At 38.7% G+C, this 23,085-nt stretch overlaps 1 protein-coding gene across 23 annotated transcripts in view; it reads left to right on the forward strand.

The window, feature by feature from the left end:
* The window catches only part of CNTN6 (contactin 6), a 311,194-nt gene that overhangs the window by 170,953 nt on the left and 117,156 nt on the right, over positions 1-23,085 (forward strand). For all 23 annotated transcript variants that reach the window (XM_011533590.3, NM_001349351.2, NM_001349354.2 and 20 more), the window contains one exon: positions 14,437-14,532. In XM_011533590.3, the coding sequence (XP_011531892.1) occupies positions 14,437-14,532 (96 nt within the window). The remainder of the gene's footprint in view (positions 1-14,436; positions 14,533-23,085) is intronic.

The raw sequence follows: 23,085 nt of genomic DNA on the forward strand, positions 1-23,085 counted from the left end.
GAAGAAACAAGAAGACCAAGGGCCATCGGGGGAAGAAACTCATTATGTTCCGAAAAACAGGAAAATAAAATGGCAGCTGTATTTGGAATGTTCTGAACACAGGTGAAAGGATGGGGTAAACAGGGCCATATCATATGGGGCTTTAAGTAATTTAGTAAACTATTTAAAGTCATCTTTATTTCTCTGGGTTGACTGATCATTAATCAAATATTTTTTGAGTACCTACTGTGGGCCAGCACTTACTGGTACTGCAAAGGTAAACCTGTACACATTTTGTGGAAAGGCGCTGATACAAACAAACGGTGGCAGCCAAGTAGGGTTATTTTTTGAAAAGATTTTATAAATACATGAGTTAGTGAACAAACTCTACATTTAAATTACTGTTATAGCAAATTATAATGCAATGCAAGCAGTTCACCTCTTTGTAAACTTATTGAATCAGCCAACATGTCCTGAACCACCTGTCTTTGAGGAGCAGCCACATAGAGAGAGGTTGAGTGGTTGATGTCATTTGGGACTAAAAGTTCCAGTTTCAGCTTTGACTGTAACCTATAACTTAAACCAGCTTCATCTGTATTTTTAAAATTATTTTTAAATTTTATTTTTAATTAACTAATAATAATTGTATAGATTTATAGGGTAAAATGTGGTATTTTGATGTATCTTTAGATTATGGAATGGTTAAATCAAGCTAATTAAATTTGTCACCCCACATACTTGTCATTTTTTGTGGTAAAAACATTTAAAATCTACTCTTCTAGAAATTTTGGAGTATACAATACATTATTATTTATTATTTTTACCACTCTGTGCAATAGATCACTAAAGCTTTTTCTTCCTGTTTCACTGAAACTTCGCACTGTTTGACTAACATTTCCCCATTTCCTATGCACCCCTCTCCCCCAGCCTCTGGTAACCACCATTCTACTCTCTACTTACATGAATTTAACTTTTTTGATTCCTTGTATGAGTGAGATCATTTGGTATTTGTCATTCTGTTGCTGGCTTATTTTACTTAGCATAATGTCCTCCAGGTTCATCCATGTTGCCACAAATGACCGAATTTCCTTTTTTTTTTTTTTTTTTTGGCTGGATAGGGATAGTATTTTATTGTGTATATATGCCACATTTTTGTTATCTATTCACCTGATGATGGACACTTAACTTGCTTCCATGTCATTGCATTCACCAGAATGCAGATATCTCTTTGGCATACTGATTTCAATTTCTTTGGATATATACAAGAAGTGGGATTGCTAGATCATGTGGTAATTCTATCATTAGTTGTCTCAGCTAGCACTCTCTGCCTCTTCACCTCTAAATGAAACCTAGTCACTGTTCTCTGGAAAAATCAGTGTCCAGGTAATTCCAGTGTAACCCAATGAACAGACATTTCCATGACTACTTCTGGCTCCAACTTTTGCTGAAGTCCCATTCTCTGCTCTGGGTCTTACAGTTTTCCCTCCTTCTCCATCCTGGTTCTTACTCAAGAGTAGAAATGTTTTCTTAATTCTGTCCCTCACACAACACACTTGATAAACACATGTCTATAGATTTTTGTTTGTAACAAAATGTTTGTAGACATTTAGGGGAGGAGTATTGGCAAAAGAAAACACAAATTACTATAAGCAGAAAAGACTATTTCTAAGAGTCCTTCAGCATTCTATATCTTGATTTTCTTTTTGTTTCTGTTCTCTCCCCTCCACCAAATCCTTCATCATGGCAAATGCAGTCAGACCACTTTGGTTGTCTCAAAGATGTCTTGTCTCCTGATATGCCATGTCCTCTGGAGCTCAGATGGCCCGTTTTCCTCAACAAGGTTTTTCAGCTTTAGCCTGAAACACAAAAAACCTTTGTGTTTTTTGAAATATCAATGTACTGTCTGTACTATGTTTTATTTTTCCCAAATTGCTTTGATTTTTTAATGAGTAAATTTGTTTGAAAAAACATATTTATTACCACTGTATCTAGAAAGCCAGTGTCATTCATCACAAATAGAACAAAACTTTAAAAGGCAATACATAGTTATATAAAGTTAAAGGTGTTTTTTTTTTTGCATAACACCTAAGTGCGTCACCCATACAACCAGTGATATCTCTCCCACACATTGGTAATGTCTCTTCTGCTTATCTCTCAGGGTTACTATCAACATTAAAAATGATGACAGAAATGAAAATGCTTTGGAAAAAAGTGAGATTTTATTTAATAGTCTCTCTTTCCCTCCCTCCCTTTATCTAAACCATAATGCATGCAAGGGTCCTTATCACTGAACCTAATTCTCCTTAGTGCTGAGCTGGAGAAAGCTACAAAGAAAATGCCGATTGCAGCTGTGATTCCAAAGACCTTGCTTGGACTAAGAAAATTCAACGGAAAAATGTCAGTATTTACCATCAACCCTGCAGTCACTCTCCCGAATTCCAGTTGTGGAAGTTCTTGCAAACCGAAACCAGTAGGATAAAAATCTCTGGTAAACTCAGAGCTTATGTCCATGGGAAGTCTTTAAAAAAATGTTCTTGCTTCACGCTTCTTGTATAAACAGGAGCATTAAGACCTTTACCCAGGAGCTCTGTCCCATTACCTCCAAAACTCGGCCTTTTGTATTTTACATAGGTTGCAAATTTTGCAATCTAACTTTCTGATTAAACCATCACAATGAATAAAAGGGCTTATTAAGGGCTCTGTCTATGAAGGACCATAGCAGGTATAATGGTTCGCATAAACCACTCTTTCCAAGTGACCTCGGGCCTCACTCCATTGAAATCACTCTCCTTTACTCTAATGAGAGTCACACATGTGAATCAAGAGGGAGCTATAAATGCAGTTGTTCTTGGAAGGGCACAGGTGCACCTAATTTGCCACCAAAACCAACACCTTCAGCCCCCTTTGCTGATGACCTGGCCCAGGAGTGAATTACAAGTGAGCTTCTGGCCAGACTCCCTCAGACCTCTGGGAAGCCAGTGGTCAGCCTGGCCCTTTTTTTTTTTTTTTTTTTTTTTTGGAGACAGAGTCTCTCTCTGTAACCTGCGACCCCCAGGTTCAAGCAATTCTTCTGCCTCAGCCTCCCAGGTAGCTGGGACTACAGGCACACACTGCCACGCCCCACTAATTTTTTGGATAGCCTGAACTTTCTTGTTACCTACCACCTGCTAAGACTTAAGTACAAGGTCAGGATGTACTTCCCCCAGTGACAGGGCAGACTCTGTTTGCTTGCTCTTGGATAAAAAGAAACTGTTTGCAGCCCTCTTTTTCCTCTCCTTCCTCACTTTTTTTCCCTCTCCCACCATTGAGCAGGGAAAGTGGTATCCTGAATAGCTGAAAATGAATCAGAGCTGGGTAGTAGTCCCTATTCAATAAAAGGCCTCCTTTTATTTTTTTAGTTATGTGGTCTTGAGCACATTGCTTAACCTTTCTGAGCACTGGTGTGTATATTTATGAAATGGGAGTCATATGGGGTACCTACAACTCATTTTGTTTATAAAGTTCAGGAATTGGGAAGGTCTCAGTAATTAAGAGGTCCCCGGCTCCTGTACCAGGAAGCCCCTCTCACGGTACACCTCTATAGCTCTTAGCTGTTGCCATCAAATATTTAACCAAAATCTAATAAACACTTGATATTGGAGAAAAATTGGAATGCTGATATCCAAGTAGGAAGTAAGAAGGTCTTTTAAGAGTTTATAGTGTCGAATCCATTTACGGTCCAAGTTAAAATTTCTCTTTGGGAAAGATAAAATAATATTTATAAAAATTAACAAGTGGAGAGAAAGTGAGTTGTTTTTTGGCGTCCTGGGAATAATGAATTCAACAAGCTGATCTTTGGATGAGTCACTTTAGTGTCTGCAATGGCAATGGAATATACACGTTTCTTTTGCCATTCAGGGCTTCCTCAGCAGAAACCTCACATTTCTTTCTGAAAAAAAAAACACGTCCCTTGATGACACCACTGATGACACCTTGATGACTTTCCCACATGAGGATGATTTACCTGAAGATTTGGCCTTTTCTGGATACTCCCCTTTTTGCCTTTGAACAATATTTATATCACATATTAATCCCAAGAAGCACAAATTGCCCCAAAGAAATCTCTTTAGAGATTATTGACTACAAAGGTTTTGGCACTGTCCTCCCTGCAGAACAAAAGGTGAGAAAATGAACATTTGCCAAAAGGCAAAGCCCAAGACTATGAGAAGCAGGGCAGCCTAGGATTTTTCTGGCTATTGTATGTCCACCCAAGAGGTCACTGCTGCCTCCAGCTGGGCTGTGTAGCTTCCTAGGCAGTGAGGGTCACTAACCATCAGTCTAACAACTTGTGTCAAGTTGGAGAAACATTCTCTGGCATAAAATAGAGAGTGGGCTGGGCGCGGTGGCTCACGCTTGTAATCCCAGCACTTTGGGAGGCCGAGGCGGGCGGATCACGAGGTCAGGAGATCGAGACCATCCTGGTTAATGTGGTGAAACCCCGTCTCTACTAAAAATATAAAAAATTAGCCAGGCGCGGTGGCAGGTGCCTGTAGTCCCAGCTACTTGGGAGGCTGAGGCAGGAGAATGGCGTGAACCCGGGAGGAGGAGCTTGCAGTGAGCCGAGATTGAGCCACTGCACTCCAGCCTGGGCGACAGAGCGAGACTCCGTCTCAAAAAAAAAAAAAAAAAATACAGTGTGATGTGGCAGTTCTTGGAATAAAATTCACATATTTTTGACTTTAGGTCTCCTTTTTGTTTTTTTCCATTCATTCATGAGCATTTAAGCTGCCACCGAATAGGCACAGAAGTAAGTCCTGACTCAGTCTTCAAGAAAATATGTCTCGTTACATCATCCGACACTGAGATGAAAGCTGAAAAAAAAGCCAGTTTAAAAGTTCAAGCTGGGATTGGTGGCACACACCTGTAATCCTAGCTACTCAGAAGGCTAAGGCAGGAGGATTGCATGAGCCCAGAGATTTGAGGTTACAGTGAGCTATGATCAAGCCACTGCACTCCAGCCGAGGCAAGAGAGTGAGACCCTGTCTCAAAAGTTATAAAATAAATAAAATAAAAATAAAAATTCAAAACATCCTAATTTTGTTGATGTGCCCTCGTATCATCAGTAATGTGATTAAAGTCCCTCACATCATATATTTTGTACTTAACATCTTCTACACACTTTAATTGTATTATGTCATTTTTTTTCCTCTGAGGCAGGTACTATTGTTAGCTAGCTTATTTTAAAAGTGAAGAAAACTGAGGTAGAAAGATACTAAATAATCTGCCCTAAATCAATAGCTAGTGCATGCACGGCCAAGCTAGCATTTGAATATAGATAGTCTGACCCTAAACTTGCATTTTTGATCATTTTGTTCCATCACTAAGCCTTTTAAGGAATTCGTTAGTGGGTTATTTAATCTATTTTGCATGCTACCTACATCACCTTCCTTTCAGGAACACCAAAGGCCAGTTGCCTTTTACTAGTTAAGTAATCTGGCATCTCAATGTATCCTATGCAGTTCCATAATTGTGTTCTGTTTCTCTCATCTACTTTTAAATGTAGGGAATATGCCAGCTTAGTAAGAAGCGAGTTTGAGTCTAGCCCACATCTAGCACTTGTATATTTATTTTTGTCATAAGTGTCACTGTTCTTACCACCATTTGTCAGGCAAATGTGTCTATTATAGAAAATCAAATCCAGTCTGACATGTATATTATCATAGACCAATTACCTAATTGATATTTCATATTGGTTTACTTGTTTAATTTATGAAATGTTTACCTCCCTGAAAACTTAAGTGCTGGGCTGTTAGGGAAAAACATGCATTATGTGCTCCTTACTATTATCCTATCTATTTTTTCATAAAAAAAAATGCTTCTCAGTGAATTCATTATATTCCCAGAAAAACAAGAAACAACGCATTTTTTTCTCTACTTATATATAAATTTTTACGAAAATTCTTTTACACCCCCAAAAGTGAGGAATTTTAACTTGGACTGTAAATGGATTTGACACCAGGAGCTCTTAAAATAACTTCTTACTTCCTACTTGGATATTAGCATTCCAAATGTATGACCAGTTCTAAGATTTAGCTATTGCCTCTTTTACAGCGTTTGACAATAACATTGTGCTTGATTAGGTTATGTCGTGTTGTGTTACTGAGTTATGCTAGGAAACATAATAATATCATGAACACCATGACTGAGTATATAGCATCCAGAAAACGATGGTGGAAAATGAAACTGGTTTCAGTAGAGATATTTCTCTGTGCCAATTAATAAAGGCATGGGAAAATTAGTTACTATAGAACTAAAACAAAATCACTCAAGAAATAGGAAATAGCAACATGAACAATTTTGGTATTATTCATAACTGGTCCTCTTCAAAGAAGAGAAGCATGGAGAGATACAAATTTAGAATAACCTCACTATAATGTTTTGAGATTCTTAAGAGTATTTTAATACTGAAAGTTGCATATATCATATCTGGGAGTTCTGTGAGACTTATGCAGATTTGGGGATTTGTTTTCTTGGTGTCTTTCACCATTTCTCTTTTGCTGGGCAGAGTACTGGCATTTCTTTGCCCCGCAAAATGTTTTTGCCGTAGGCCAAAACAAAATACATACCTTCAACATGGGAACCGCATCGTGAAGGTGAACAAGTGCTCCAACATCTTGTTTACTCCAGAACCAGCTTTCAGTGCTAAAACTTCTTCAGAAGGATTCTCAAAGGGGGGAAATAGTATTTGGTTGACGGAAACCAGAAAGCAGGGTAAAATAAATCATAGAGTTTAAAATTAGACCTAACGTCTTTGAAGTGACCAATAATTGAAATTGCTTCTGAGGTGTGAAAAGAGAGAAAAGGTCTGTCTGGGTGACTTTCTAGATAGAGAGGCAGTATGGTCTGGTGGTTAAGCGAATGCACTCTCGAGCCACAATATTTGTTTCTTTACTTTGTCTTTGTTTGTTTGTTTGTTCTTGCTTTTTGAGACAAAGTCTGACTCTGTCACCCAGGCTAGAGTGTGGAGTGCAGTTGTGCGATCTTGGCTCACTGCAACCTCTGCTTCCTGAATAGCTGGGACCACAGGTACATGCCACCACATTAGACTATTTTTTATATTTTTAGTAGAGACAGGGTTTCACCATGTTGCCCGGGCTGGTGTCCAACTCCTGGTCTCATGTGATCCGCCCACCTTGGTGTCCCAAATTGCTGGGATTACAGGCTGGAGCCATGGCGCCTTGTCTAGAAACACAGCATCTGGAATTAAATTTTATTTCCTTTACTTATTACCTGTTTGAACCCATACAGATCAATCAATTTCTGGTGTGACAGCAGGAGCAGAGAGAGCTGAACATCTTGGCAGATGAAAGCAGCGGGACATTTTCCTCCTGCTCCTGAAAGAGAGGATTGTAGTAGGGAAGTTATAGAAGAGAGAAGGCAGACGCAAGTAAGAGGAGTAACTAAAGGGCCTTTAGGAGCCATATACCCAATATTTCATTCTAAGGTGTTCGAGCTGCATATGAATATATCAGTAAGGCTGACACAGGCTCAAAATCTGGTAGTGGTGATGCACCACACCTCTGTTGTATGTGCTGGTGGGCGGTGCATAGCTCTCTATGTTGGTCAAAATAAGGGGCTACATTCTATGTTCACATGCAGATACAGGGAGAGATGTAAGGGTGGAGATAAATCGAGAAATATAAAGAGAGGTACAAATAAGGATTCAGAGGATTCAGGACATCAGAAACAGAGCCACTTCTAGAAACTACAAATTCTTGGGGGAGAGAAAGCACCTTTACCCCTCCGCTAGCAATTTGTACAACTTTTTGGAAAAGCATTAGGCTTTTGATGGTTTGACCATGGAGTATTAGTTTATGTTAATTTTGTAAATTATAAGTGGCAAGGAGACCCCAGGTAACATCTGGAGAGCAGTGTTTTAGTGTGAACCGTGGAACCAGAGGGATATGGTTTTAATGTATCCCCACCCAAATCCCACATTAAATTGTAGTTGCCATAATCCCCACATGTCATGGGAGGGACCCAGTGGGAGGTAATTGAATCATGGGGGCAGGTTTTACCCATGCTGTTCTCCTGTTAGTGAATAAGTCTCACAAGATCTAATGGTTTTATAAAGGGCAGTTCCCCTGCATACACTGTCTTGCCTGCCGCCATGTAAGACATGCCTTTGCTCCTCCTTCACCTTCCACCATGATTATAGGGCCTCCTGAGCCATGTGGAGCTGTGAGTCCATTAAAACTCTTTTTCTTTATGAATTATCCAGTCTCAGGTATTTCTTCATAGCAGTATGAAAATTGACTAATACTCAAACTCTCTTTTTCAACCTTATCTGGACACATAGAAATTGGGTCAACTTTGGTCAGTGGCCAGTCATCTGTGAACCTCAATTTCCTCCTTCGCTAAATGAAAGTGACAATGGTACAGGTGATTGTGAGGATTACAGGTGGTTCTGAGGATTCAATGAGTGTACTTATCAGAGCATCTGACATATAATGGCTATTCTCCATATATTAAAAAATGAAAGAACAAAGAAAAAATTTAAAACATTGCAATGAAATAATTCATACATAGTAAATGGGAAAAAATATATATCATTATTCAGATTTTTAACAACTCAGCTGAGTGTACTATGTCCTACTGTAAGCATGCCCATTTTTCTGGTGAATATTTTCCCTATCTCCAGCTTTTCAGGTGCTGTCTTCTTGGTCCTGATCAATGGACCCTGGGTACCCATAGCCTTCCTTCAAGCTTATGAGACTTGGCAAACCACTGGCCTCCTTCTGTGTCAGGGGCTGGCACTGTCAAGTGCATCGTCTGATTGTGATCCTCAGGCCTTGGCAGCAAATGTACAGTTTTCTTGCTTTAATTAGGCTGAGATTCATTCCTACACGTGGCAGCTGCAAAGATATATTCTCTTACAATTAGATGTTACAATACTTGTATTGCCTGAACCTTAATTTTAAGTACATTTTGGTGGCCCTTGTCCCTCCCTTGCACCTTGGTTGCTCCAAGAGAGAGCATATGGCCCAGTAATTCTTTAAAGCTCATTTTATGGGCCATTCTCAGGCACTTCCTGCTGGCCTTTGGAACAGAGCCTTATTCGTGACTGCATTTTTGCTTATACTCCTGCCAAATGCTTCCTCCAAAACCAGCAATCAAACCACAGGACATGATAAGCCATGGCCATCAGAATGGCTTAATGAGAGCAACCTCAACAATCAAGGTCATTAACAGCAACCAGCACTGCAGGATTTGTATCCCGTGCACAAGGGCAGCCTGGGCAGGTCACCTTTGTGGTCTATGAGAATATCTCCAAATATTATAGAATTTGAGACCATCTCAGAGAACGATCTCATTCTAAGCAATTTTCTTTTAAGCAAAAATGGATAGGACAAAAATAGAAACTGGTGGTTCTCTCTGGCCTCTCCTTGTAGAAGAATAAATCTAGAGTTTTTAAAGGTCTTACAGAGCAAAGAAAATATTCGCTGGATGCTTGTATGGCTACCTAATTCAGTCACCCTTGCCTCAGAAAATGATCTGAATTAAATCTTGTTTCCAGCTAGCAGAAGGGTATTTGAAATACAGATTGGATCTGTACAATAGACCTTGTTCAAAGCATATCCACATGAGATGGTACATAGTTTAAATAAGGCAGACTTATATCTTGTCTATGATCTGTGTGCTATTAAACAGTTTTAAAACGTGAATTATTAATTAAAACCTGTGAACTACTAACATTTTGGAATGACTGTTTTGATAGCTAACAGGACTTGTGTGACTTTTGAGAGGCGTTGATTTCCTTTCATGTCAGCTAATAGAAATCCCATTGTAATCATAAAAGGCACAGAGAAATTATGTCACAAGCGGATGCTATTTAAGTGGAAGTGAACACAGAATATATTAAAGTATCAGTGTTCTTATCAGCAGTGTCTTATAATGACTTCTGATTAACACTGAAAAGATGATTGATGTTCCTAGGATTGTGGAGCACTGACAATGTGACACTGAGAGAATTCAATCCAAAGCTTGTTAATTTCATAGAATCATTCAATTTCTCATTACTCCTTTTTGACAGTGTTTGTTTTTGTGACCATTACAATATAGTCACAATTTAATGGGGCCTTTCAAAAACAATAGTAAGAAAAAAACCTTAAAATTGTCACCTATGATGATTATTACTAGAAACAGAAACAATGATTTCAATATATTAATTTTTTTTGTTTTAAAATAAAGCTTATTAGGCTGATTTTTATTCAGGAGTCATATTTAAACTGATACAAGCCAAAGTCATAGAGGACTCCCAAGTCAAGGCAATAGTTCACATCAACAGCGCCAACATATGTAGGCTGATTTAGTTTTTTCATGGCCAAAGAAGAAAGGAAGCATATTTGATGTAAATTCCTGTATGAGAAACATGGTAGGCATGCCAGGTCCTAAATTAGTATAAAGCTAATGACTGCTGATTGAGAGCAGGTGGAGAACGGGAAGGGGGTGTAGTTGAGGATCAGTAGAGTTTATCTTAATACTTTTGTTATTAAATACTTTTGTTATTAAAAGTATAGAAAATATAAGACTTTCTCAATTTACATATCAGATCTGGTGAATCTATCTTATTGAACTCATACTTTACATGGATTGAAAAGCAATGTTTACAAAAAGAACACTGATATGGGAAGTAATGTAGTTAGCAGAGATAAACTGCGGATGTTTCAAATAAAATCATCTACCTCCAAAAATTTTACTGGAACTAGCATGTGATATTTAACTTGTATTTTTAGATTAGTGTATCTGAACTTTGTATCAGTCAGAGGAAAATGTATGGTTGGCCCTAACCACTCAGAATGTCATAATCATAGTAATTACCACTACCCAGTAGTAGTAATTACCAATATTCTAGGCTTCAGTCAAGACACTTTAAATTCATCATTTTATTTAATCCCCATAACAACCCTGCTAAACATAGGTGTGTTTATTGGATCTTTTATCTTCCCAAATGACCACCCAACGCCCCCACCCAAATCAGTTTGATTGAAAAATTTGAAACCAGCACCAAAAACTTTCTCATCTAACCCAGCAAAAACTCTGCAGTCCATCTTTTACAAGCACATATAAGTTTTGTTTTAATTTCTCTTTCCTTACAAAGGCCGATCCTTCCATGTGGGTTCTCATTATCACCCTTCAGGCTTTACAAGGACCTTATTTTATCTGTGTCCTGAATCGTCAGTCTCTTTCCTTACTTGATCATTGATTTCAGCATAGTGGCCTCACCCTCCAAACCTTTTGGTATTCTTCCTAAATCTCATCTCTTACTCATAGCCAACTCTAAAGAGTTCTCATGACTGTGATCTCCATGTCCTTATCTGCTATCTACTATCCACTTCTCGATTCATATTGGCTTTTTCCCCAAACTCTACTGAAACTTTTCTTGGCAAGATCACATATGACCAACATTGTTTTGTCTTTTATGTTCACGTATTATTCACCTCTAGCTTTTTACACACACCCTCTCTCTCATATCTGTGGTTCTCTACCTCTAAATATGGAGATTTTCAAGGTTAACTCCTAGACAACTGTCCACCAATTTGCTCGTGCCAAAAGTTTAAGAGTCACCCCATCAGGTTTACATTCATACCTATGACTTCAAATATGGTGTATATGCTTATAAATCCCATTCTTAGCCCTAAGCTTGTTTTCCTGCCACTAGATGGTGCCATTTGGGGGTGATGGGAGACAGTGACAGATCATCAGGCATTAGGTTATCACAAGGAGTGTGCAACTTGGATCCCTCACATGCGCGGTTCACAATAGGGTTTGTGTTCCTATGAGAATCTAATGCCACTGCTGATCTAACAGGGGGCAGAGCTCAGGAGGTAATGTGATTGACAGGGAGTGGCTGTAAATAAAATGAAGCTTTGTTCGCTTGCCTGCCACTCATCTCCTGCTGCGTGGTTTTGGGATTGGAGATCCCTGTTTTATAGTATTTGTAATATTGTCGCTTAGATAGCTCATGGATAATACAAATTTAATAGATCCAAAATGAAATTCTTGAATTCCTCTAAACAATACCAATAATTTGTTCCAATTAGACCATAGTAAGGTTGTTAAAAAATAAGCAAAACTAAAAAAACTACAATGTGTAATCTTTAGAAGACTTTAAAAGATAAAGACAGATGTAAGTAAAGATGGGTAATCTCTACTTTCACATCTCCCATCCATTCCTCTAAGATAACCAATGTGTATTTTTTTAAAAATTCATTCTGTAACTTTATGCCAATCTAACAGGATGCTTATATTAGTTTTTTACTGTTGTTTTCTTCCACAGTAGGATAATGGTGTATCAATATTTAGTGACTTTTTAAAGAACATGACACTAAGAATGTTCCGAGTCAAACCATTTAGATTTGACGTATTCTTTCTAATTTTCAATGACATGACTTTCTATGCATGTTCCAGGTATGATTCAACGATGTGCGCTGCTGTATTATTAGATTATTTCCAATCCATTTTATTTGTATTTTAAATTTAAACCAAATGTATTGTACGTACATAGCTCACGATATGCTGCTTGCTACTGTGCTTGCTCTGAAACCTTGCCCATTATGCACTAACAACACTGGCTTCTATTCAGTACAACAAAACGTCCCTACATTTTTTATATCCAGAAATTTAGTACGGTTTTTTCATTCTGGAAGCAGTTCTTTCCCTCTGCCTTACCATCATTGCATGGCTGTCTCTTTCTCATCTGTCAGATCAGTGCTCTCTTCTTATCTTTTACAGGGTATCTTAGGGTAAAAAGTTAAACTGATGCGACAGAGACCCCAAAACAAATGCCTCAAACAAGATAGAAATTTACTTATATGTAATATAATGATCTAAAGTTGACGTTCCAGATTAGCTATGTTTCTGCTCCAGCTAGTCACTCAAATACCCGGGTGAATGGTGGCTCTTTTGCATTCAGCAAGTGGCTTTCAAGACCTCCCATATCATTGGCAATTTGGCAATTTAGGTGGGTGTGGTGGTAGGTGGATCAGGAACATCAAAATTTGTGGAGATTTCCTCTCAAACATAGTAAGTGAAAGTTTCATTCATCATTTTTGCTTGCCATATTTAGCTGCAAAGAAATCTGGGAAATGTGATCTCTGGTTAGACAAGCATGTTTGATAACAAGTCTATTATTATGGGAGAAGGAAGAATAGATCTTGGTAGACAATTTCAGTCTACACTCAAGGACACTTACCACAATTTGTAAATGATGTATTCATTTTAAAAACAATCTTCTGGTCTTCCCATTAGATAGTAAGCACAATAAAGGTAAAATACCTGCCTGTTTTATTGTTTTATTCACAAATAAACCTTCTCCCCTGAATACTACTTCTGTCTTTTAGTAGGTTTTCTTTTTTTTTTTTTTTTTTTTTTTTTTTTTTTGAGACCGATTCTGGCTCTGTCTCTCAGGCTGGAGTACAGTGGCGCAATCTCGGCTCATTGCAACCTCTGCCTCCTGGGTTCAAGCAATTCTCATGCCTCAGCCTCCTGACATAGCTGGAATTACAGGCGTGTGCCACCATGCCTGGCTAATTTTTGTAATTTTAGTAGAGATGGGGTTTTGCCATATTGGCCAAGCTGGTCTCAAACTCCTGGCCACAAGCAACTTGCCTGACTCAGCCTCCCAAAGTGCTGGGATTACAGGAGTGAGCCACCACACCCAGATTAGTAGGTTAATTCATTAAATAACTAATTGAATGAATGAAAGGATTTTACAGGTAAAGAAACTGAGGCTCAAAGAAGTTAAACAATTTAGGAGAATGGGTGACCATTCTTCAGGAAGGTGGAAAGATTTATACCTCAGATGGCTTAACAAGATAGCTAGTAAGCACTCTTTCAACTCTGAATTTCTGTGATTCTGTTATGCAGGAAATCACCACATTCCAAATAAGATCATGAGCCTGCTTTGTAAAGGAATAAATCAAGAGAAAATTGAAAATACACTTTTTGTCTCATTGGTTCTGTCACACAGAACTCTTTCCCTCACACCATTACATCCTAAATTCTCATAGATGCCAGTCACACTTTAAAATGGCAACCATTAATCTAAGATGTTGGAAGACTGCAGCAAACTTGTGACATACCTTTCTAAAATCACACCTTCCTTGGACAGACAAAGTAAATATGTGTTGGGCTTCACAGATTTCCTGCTAGGCTACACTGTCTGGAAGAATAAAAGCAAACAGATAGTGAGTATTGTCTTTATCACATACTGTGTTTAATTAAAAAGAAAGAAAGAAACACAAGATTTTGCAAGATAATAATAAGTGCAGTTAAATTGATTGTCAACTAAGTCTTCTGGTCAGCAAAGTATGAGATTAATTCCCCTTAATAATAAAAACATTCTTGAGATTCTTCTTTAAAATATTTATTCTGCAAAGTAACTAATTATAAATCTGCTTTTCTTTGTTTTCCAAGATATTGAAGACTTTGAAACTAAAACAAGAAGCACAGTATCTGTCCGAGAAGGTCAAGGTGTGGTGCTTCTCTGTGGCCCACCGCCACATTTTGGAGGTATGATGGGGTGATTTGGGTCATATCATCAATGCGGTCACTTGGAGAGTGATGTGAGCACATCAGGTCTTAGGCTCAGTGATCACCTTTTATCAAATCAAAGAAATTGTGACTCTCGTCAAGTGCATCTACTGCATACAAATAGTTCTATATCTAAACATTTTCTTTTAAAAATATTCGTTCAAGCAGCCACACAGCAAATATGTTTTTAAGGAGATACATCATGGCATTGTACGTAGTGTGAGTGCCAGGGCTTTTTAGAGAAACTGACCGCAGCTGTAATTCGGTGCTGTGACAGGCAAACTTCATGACAAGGGGACAATTTATTTACCCCACTTTGAGGCTTGGTTTTCTCATCTATAAAATAGAGACATTAACTGTTTGTTTGTTTGTTTGTTCAGTTTTGTTGTAAATGTTAAATGAGCTAATAAATGTAAATTGAGTAGTGTAATAACTAATACTTTAGTAAGTAAAGAAAGTTAAGATTGTTACTACGTTTTTATTTTTGGGCTCTATGGAGAAGCAAATTCCAACTAACACTCCTCTTGGCAATGTCACATTAATTACCGGAAGGGATAGATCACCATTAACTGGAAGCAAATTCTGTATAGCACCAAATCAGAATGTCTCCTGGCAATGGTAAAAATCAAGCAATAAATGCCAGCCTCTACTTTGGAAGACTCTGGCTTGGTCAGTGGACTGGCCCGTTGTCAGGGATCCAAACTACTTACTGATTCTCATCCTCTTGGGAATGGATTTTCTCAAATTTCACATGATGTGGTAAATTTAGTCGTGATTCTCAACTCACAGTGAACCTGAAGGAGGCAGTGTGAAAACATCCATGGAGTCATTTGGTACAAACCAATATCACACTATATTATAGAAAGCTTAATAACAGCAAGGACTTACACAGCACAGACCCAAGGACTTTAACATGTATTAGATTCTTAAATTTTCACAAAAACTTATAAGAGATATATGAGTATAATTATTGTTTTACAGGCTCAGTACACTATAGAGAAATAGAAAGATGTTAATTAACTGGTCCAAGGTCACGCAGCTGGCAGGCAATGAAGCCAATATTCAAATCCAGGAAGTCTGGTTCCCAGACCCTCAGCTCTTAACTATCACTGCAGTTGTTATAATTGATTTCCACTCTGGAATGGGAGAACTTTTAAAATACAAAGGACAGATGTTTAAAAATAAAATTTAAGCAATTTACTTTTAATGTTAAACCAAATCTTATTTATGAGCCTTGAGAAACTTGAAAGCGTTTTTCCATTATTATTTTTACACAACCTCATGAATTGCCATGACCAAAAGAAAAGAAAGCTAATTCAAAGTTAACAATATCTTATTCGGTATTATTAGAGAGTATTATGGCATTATATTCACCTGATATGATAGGGAAGAGTTGCAATGCTTTTAATGCTATATTGAGATAAAATAATATTGTTTCAGAACACACAATAATTGCTGAGGCTCTTTTGGTGCTTATTTTTTAACGGTATAGAAGATTATTTTCCGGCACCATAATCTAAGATGACAAAATATGCAAAATGGTATCAGTTTGTCCTGTCAGTCTATGTCATTTTATGCTCTTACGATGTTATTCAAATATTCTTGACACTACTGAAAATTGTTTTCAACTTTGTTTAATCGGGAATAAAAGAAATGTAAAATATTTGTAAATGAATCAGTTCCATATGTAAAAAAATTTAAAAAATTAAAAGGCAGCCAGACAGGAGACGCTTGTCCTTGTTACCTTGTCACCTATCACCATTAAAGGATATGTGGATCTTTTAGTGTGTGAGGCCCTCATTGTAACAGCGCCCGTGGGGTCGATGCCATAAAATTAAGTCACACATTTACAAAAACTGCCTTAAATTAAGACCTTTGTAACTGAATAATCTTGCTGCATGGGAGTAATGGCAAACTTGTGTAATACCAATTTTTTTTTTTTTTTTTTTTTTTGTGATAGCATCTCGCTCTGTCTCCCAGGCTGGAGTGCAGTGGCTCGATCTTGGCTCACTGCAACCTCTGCCTCCTGGGTTCAAGCGATTCTCCTACCTCAGCCTACTGAGTAGCTGGGATTACATTTGCACACAACCACACCCAGCTAATTTCTGTATTTTTAGTAGAGACGGGTTTTCGCCATGTTGGCCAGGCTGGTCTCAAACTCCTAACCTCAGGTGATCTGCCCACCTCGGCCTCCCAAAGTGCTGGGATTACAGGCATGAGTCACCGCACCTGGTCCGAGATTTAATTTATGTTACAAGTAGCATCTCATCATGATTCCAAGCATATTTGTCGGCTGAATCATGTTTCTTGCTGTTAAGGTCCCTGTTTCCTTGATAACTGGCTGTTAAGGGACACTCTCAACTTGTAGAGGCTGCTGAATTTCTTGCCATGAGCATTTGTCCAATGTCAAAGCCAGGAACAGAGAATCTGTCTCACATTTAGTCCCTCGAACATTTCAAATTTCTTTAGTCAGGAAGAGCCCCATCTCTTGTGAGGGCTCACCTGATACAGATCATGCCCACAAAAGCTGAAGTCAGTTTCTTTAAATCAACCTGTGCCATCTAATCTTATCTAATCATGGATATGATCTCTCATCCTGCTACAAGTCGCACTCACACTCAGATGAAGAGAATTATACAAGGGCACGGGTCGTTGAAGGTCATCTTGGGATTTTGCCCTACAATATGTTTCTCAAATATTATTTCTTCTATTTCCAATCTCCCTAAAGGCTCCATATTTCCTACCACACATGGCTCTCACAGAGAAACGTCCTAGAAATATATTCATGGGGGCAGACGGAGTTAACAGAGCACTGTAAAGTAAATGTCGGCGTGGCCAAATTATTTTTTAAATCTCGTGTGTAAGTATTAAACAAAGCTTCTCATAAAGAAAAGTAGCACAGACTCCACAGAGATAGAAGGCCATAAAAGTTGACTTTTTTTTTTTTTTTTTTGAGACGGAGTCTCCTTCTGTTGCCTAAGCTGGAGTGCAGTGGCCCCATCTCTGCTCACCACTACCTCCGCCTCCCAGATTCAAGGGATTCTCCTGCCTCAGCTTCCCGAGTAGCTGGAACCACAGGCACGTGCCACCATGAACACCTAATTTTTGTATTTTTAGTAGAGGCGGGGTTTCACTTCTGACCTCGTGATCTGCCCGCCTCGGCCTCCCAAAGTGCTGGGATTACAGGCGTGAGCCATCGGGCGCAGCAAAGGCTGAAATTTTACATCAAATTTTTGATAACTTAGTTCTGTTGTCTTTTTCAACATAAACAGTCAGCAAGAATGAGTCTCACAGGGAGTTCGGCAGCAAGGGAGAAATCATGTTAAACTTGATATTATCAGAATATCCTGAATTCTTTATGCTTTCTTTTTAGTGTATTCACATAAATTATACAAAACTTTTTTTTAATAAGGCAGGCCTATCAAATATATTTTAGTGTGATATATATAGGTATACACACACACACACACACACACACACATAACTTTATAGGAGAGTAAGAAAAAGTATCGACATGGCTAAATTTTATAAATTTACCCAGCAAAGAATGGCTCCATGTTTTAAAAACAAAACAGAAAAGTGTCTAGATGGTTTTTCCATGTAAATGATTGGTCACAACCCCATGAAACAGAGTAATCAACAGAAACCAAATAAACAGGTACTTTTATAGAGCTGTCCTTTCTTCTGCGTAAACGAAAGGAGGGCTGACTCCAGCATAGGCCTTCTGTGGATGCTTTCCACCCAGTTTTGAAGCACAGATGCAAATGTCCTGCTCCTCTAGAAAGGAAGGGTTTTACACGGAAAGGTTATTCTAGCAGAGAAGGCATCACAGTGCAAAAGAAAAATAACCTAAGCAATAATGCCAGGACACAGTTCAAGACGCTCTATTTTATCATTTCAAAATGTGGAAGCAGAATAGGCACCATTCTCTGTAATCTGAGTGGAGGAGTATATTTCTCTTTTAATCCTATTCCCCAATCAGAGATGGGTTTTGTGATTGTAACTGAATCTCTGTCCTTAGGACTAGACTCAGTCCTTGTTCCCATATTTCCAAAAAATCTTATCTGTAAAATATTTCCGAGAAATGTAGGTTTCACGAAGTTTTGTAAGGACAGCACAGAGAGGACTGCAATGCACATCTGATTACAAAACTTCACTAAGATTCCTGTTAAACGTCTCCTTCATTCCTCCTAAACGCTCTCTCACTGGTAGGCTGTGACTTCCCACATCTTTCCAACAATCTCCAACAATTCCCTCGAGTATCTATTATAATTCTTCCCTATTTGGACACCTATCTCAGAAGAATTCAGTACTCCTTTAGCTTCTCAGTGCTTGGCAGAACGAAATTTACTAGTTGGCCAAACAAAAATATTTTATTTCTTTCACTATGTCCCTGCAGGGTTCTAAGGTCATCCCTCAGTTCATGCAACAGAAAGAGACAACACAAAACTCTTTTTTTTTGAGAGGGAGTCTCGCCCTGTTGCCCAGGCTGGAGTGCAGAGGTGCCATATTGGCTCACTGCAATCTCCACCTCCCTGGTTCAAGCGATTCTCCTGCCTCAGCCTCCTGTGTAGCTGGGACTACAGGTGCATGCCACCACACCCAGCTAATTTTTTATATTTTTAGTAGAGACAGGGTGGGTCTCCAACTCCTGGCCTCATGTGATCCGCCTGCCTCGGCTTCCCAAAGTCCTGGGATCACCGGTGTGAGCCACTGCTCCCAGCCCACAAAACTTATTTAGTATTTATTTTATTTATTTTTGGGGAGCAGGATGTTACCGTGCCTTTGGCTGAACTTTGAGCTGTATGCAGAGAGGTCTTTCCACCATGGATTCTCACTCACCTCCAAAGTGAGCTTTTGTTAAATTTCAGTCACTCGTCACAAAAAATGTCGGCACAAACTATCTGCAACAGAGCTGAAGGCAGAATTTCCTTTAAATTTTGGAACAGATATAACGCCCTTGAAACCAAAACTGAAGAAGGAATATGAAAACAAGCAATCAATAAACTTCCATGGACCCAGTGAGTTAGTCCAGCCTCATAGGAAATCTTATTTAAAAATGACAGAATGAAGCAACGATACATGTTATCTACAATAATTAAACCCCCCCTTCACTATGTAGTAATAGTTTCACTTTATCCAAAGTAAAGAACACTCTTTCCCTTCATTGGTTGGATATGAAACTCTCGGCGGGGCTCAGTGGCTCACACCTGTAATCCCAGCACTTTGGGAGGCCAAGGTGGGCAGATCACCTGAGGTCAGGAGTTCGAGACCAGCCTGGCCAACATGGTGAAACCCCGTCTGTCCTAAAAATACAAAAATTAGCCGGGTGTGGTGGCAGGCGCCTGTAATCCCAGCTACTCTGGGGCTGAGGCAGGAGAATCACTTGACTCTGGGAGGCGGAGGTTGCAGTGAGCCAAGATCATGCCTTTGCACTCCAGCCTGGGGGACAAGAGTGAGATTTCATCTCAAAAAGCAAACAAACAAACAAACAAAAAAGAAACTAAGTCCCGAGCTCATAAAAATTATAGGTTTAAAATTTGATTTAGAGGAAATGTTCCATTCTCTCCTCAGATGCAACTTTCAGGTTGGTAGAACAGTTGAATTGATGCCAAAAGTTTGGATCATCTGTGTCTGTAGCAGGAAGATAGCACGACTGTCTGAGCCCACTGTTTGTATTTGCATCAGTAAAGATGTTGACAATTCCACTTAAATTAAAAGTCATTCCAAGCAAAGGCTCACAATTGTGTTATCAAATAAAGAGGAAAATTATGTAGAGAAAAAAGTGCTAAAACTTAACATCCCCTTCCTCCAGTTGGTGTGCTTGCTGTTTCTGGCGTAAATGAAAGTGCTTTTGTCTTAGTGGGTAGGTCAAATTGGCAGTGGATATGTTACTCTGAGGCTCTCTGAAAGTGTAAAAGGCAGACAGGCCCAATAGTTGCCTCTTGGTATAATAATAATAGTAACGATAATAACCGTATTATTGAACTTGTACACTGGGTATTCACTCAACAAATATTTATTATGTAGTTACTAAGTGCCACTCGTTTTTCTGCATTTTAGTGATAAAGTGGAAAAGAGAGACAAAGTTTTTAGCTCCATGAATCTTATAATAAAGAAATATAAAGCATGACAGGTGGTAATAAAAGCCAGAAGAAAAATAAAAGGAGATAGGAAATAGTAGATGTTGCTATTGTATATTCTAAGGTAAAAGAAGGTTTCACTGCTATTTGAGCAGAGAACTAAAGAAGTGAGGGAGTGAGACACATTAAGTAAAGGCAGTTCAGGTGGAGGAAATAGCATGTCAAAGAACCTGTGGGGAAACCACGTCTAGCATGTTGGGAGAACGGCACTGAGGTCAGCATAGGTGAATTAAAATGAACAGACAGGAGAGTAAATGAGGACACACAGCCTTACTTTCAGACATTTTAGGGACTTTGCCTTCTCCTGGGAGTAAGATGAAAATTCACTGGTTTATATTCAGAAGAGTGACATGCTTTCTCTGACTTTCATTTGTAAAAATTTACTCTGGATAGTAGACCACAGAGGGGCAAGAACATAAGCAGTTAAAAAGTGATTGTGTTAATTCAGGTGAGAGAGAATGGTGACTTGGACCAGGTGGATTGCTGTAGACAGATAGATAATTACCAGTCTTCAGTATGTATTTATAAGGTATAAGTAAAATAATTTCCTGAAAGATTGAATGTGGGTTATAAGAGAAGGAGAAAAGTAAAAGATAACTCCAAGGATTTGGGACCGAGCAACTGGAAAATGGAGTATCATTTATTGGGGTGGAGTTGATGAAGGGATAGCAGGTTTAAGGATGGAGTAAATCAGGAATTTGTTTTAGGAGATGTTAATGTTCAGATGCCAGTTAGATACAAGGGTGAAAGTTTCTAGCAGGCAGCTGGATTATATGTTTAGGGCAAAAGCTCTGGTTTGAAGAGCTAAATTTGGAACTCACCTTATATAAGTAATATTTAATACTACATAATTGGATAAGATAATGAATACTTACTATGTACTAGGCACTAAACTTAGCATTTGCAATACTTCAACGCATTTAACATTTTCCGGGAAGATATCTCAATTTTACAAATTGAGTATTGTGTTAAAATTGTTAGTGTTAGCTAACAACTATAGTTAACTAAACTCAACTAACTATAACATAGCTTGGCCAAGATCTTGTCTCTGGAATTCGAAAGATCCTGTCTAAACATCAGTGCATTTATTCCACTCCCTAATTTTCTCTGGCATAATCTGGTCCAGAAGAGACACTTAAAAGTTTTTAAATAATACAAGGAGATAACAAGAGTTCTTTACTCTACTGGAGACTATGTAAACAACACACAGAGAGGTCTACTGATTTGCCTAAAATTAGTGTACAGTGTTAGAACCAGGAAGCTCATGGCTCTTCCCACTCTTCATAGCTGGCCAAAGTCAGCTCTCTAGAAAGTTTATTTCTTTAAGTCCCATGCTGCACATTCCTTCCCTCCACTTTCAGACTCCATTCACTCTTAGAAAGACTATTTTCCTTGCTTTCCAGCACATCAAACAGAACTCTCCTGTTGCAGCCTGTTACCATGTGTAGAAGTCAGGATTTTCCAACACTGGTACACTTTGTGGCAGTAGGGCCAGATGTTGGGGAGATAGGAAGTAATTCTTTTTTTCTCTTTTTATTATCATACTTTAAGTTCTGGGCCACATGTGAAGAAAGTGCAGGTTTGTTACATAGGTGTACACGTGCCATGGTGGTTTGCTGCACCCATCAACCGGCCATCTACATTAGGTTTTTCTCCTAATGCTATCCCTCCCTTAGCCCCCCAACCCCCAGTAGGCCCCAGTGTGTGATGGGCCCCTCCCTGTGTCCATGTGTTCTCATTGTTCAACTCTCACTTATGAGTGAAAACCTGCGGTGTTTGGTTTTCTGTTCTTGTGTTAGTTTGCTGAAAATGATGGTTTCGAGCTTCATCCATGTCCCTGCAAAGGACATGAACTCATCCTTTTTTATGGCTGCATAGTATTCCATGGTGTATATGTGCCACATTTTAAAGAAAATGTGACAGTCTATCATTGATAGATAGATAGACATAATATCCAGTCTATCATTGATGGGCATTTGTGGTGGTTCCAAGTCTTTGCTATTTCAATATTAACCTTAAATGTAAACAGGCTAAATGTCCCAATTAAAAGACACAGACTGGCAAATTGGATAAAGAGTCAAGGCTCCTCCGTGTGCTGTATTCAGTATCTCACATGGAGACCCATCTCACATGCAAAGACACATAGGAGACCCACCTCATGTGCAAAGACACACATAGGCTCAAAATAAAGGGAAGGAGGAATATTTACCAAGCAAAAGGAAAGCAGAAAAAAGCAGGGGTTGCAATCCTAGTCACTGATAAAACAGACTTTAAACCAACAAAGATCAAAAGAGACAAAGAAGGTCATTACATAATGGTAAAGGGATCAATGCAACAGGAAGAGCTAACTATCCTAAATATATATGCACCCAATACAGGAGCACCCAGA

This window comes from Homo sapiens, chromosome 3 (assembly GCF_000001405.40).
Source record: "Homo sapiens chromosome 3, GRCh38.p14 Primary Assembly".
NCBI lineage: Eukaryota > Metazoa > Chordata > Mammalia > Primates > Hominidae > Homo > Homo sapiens.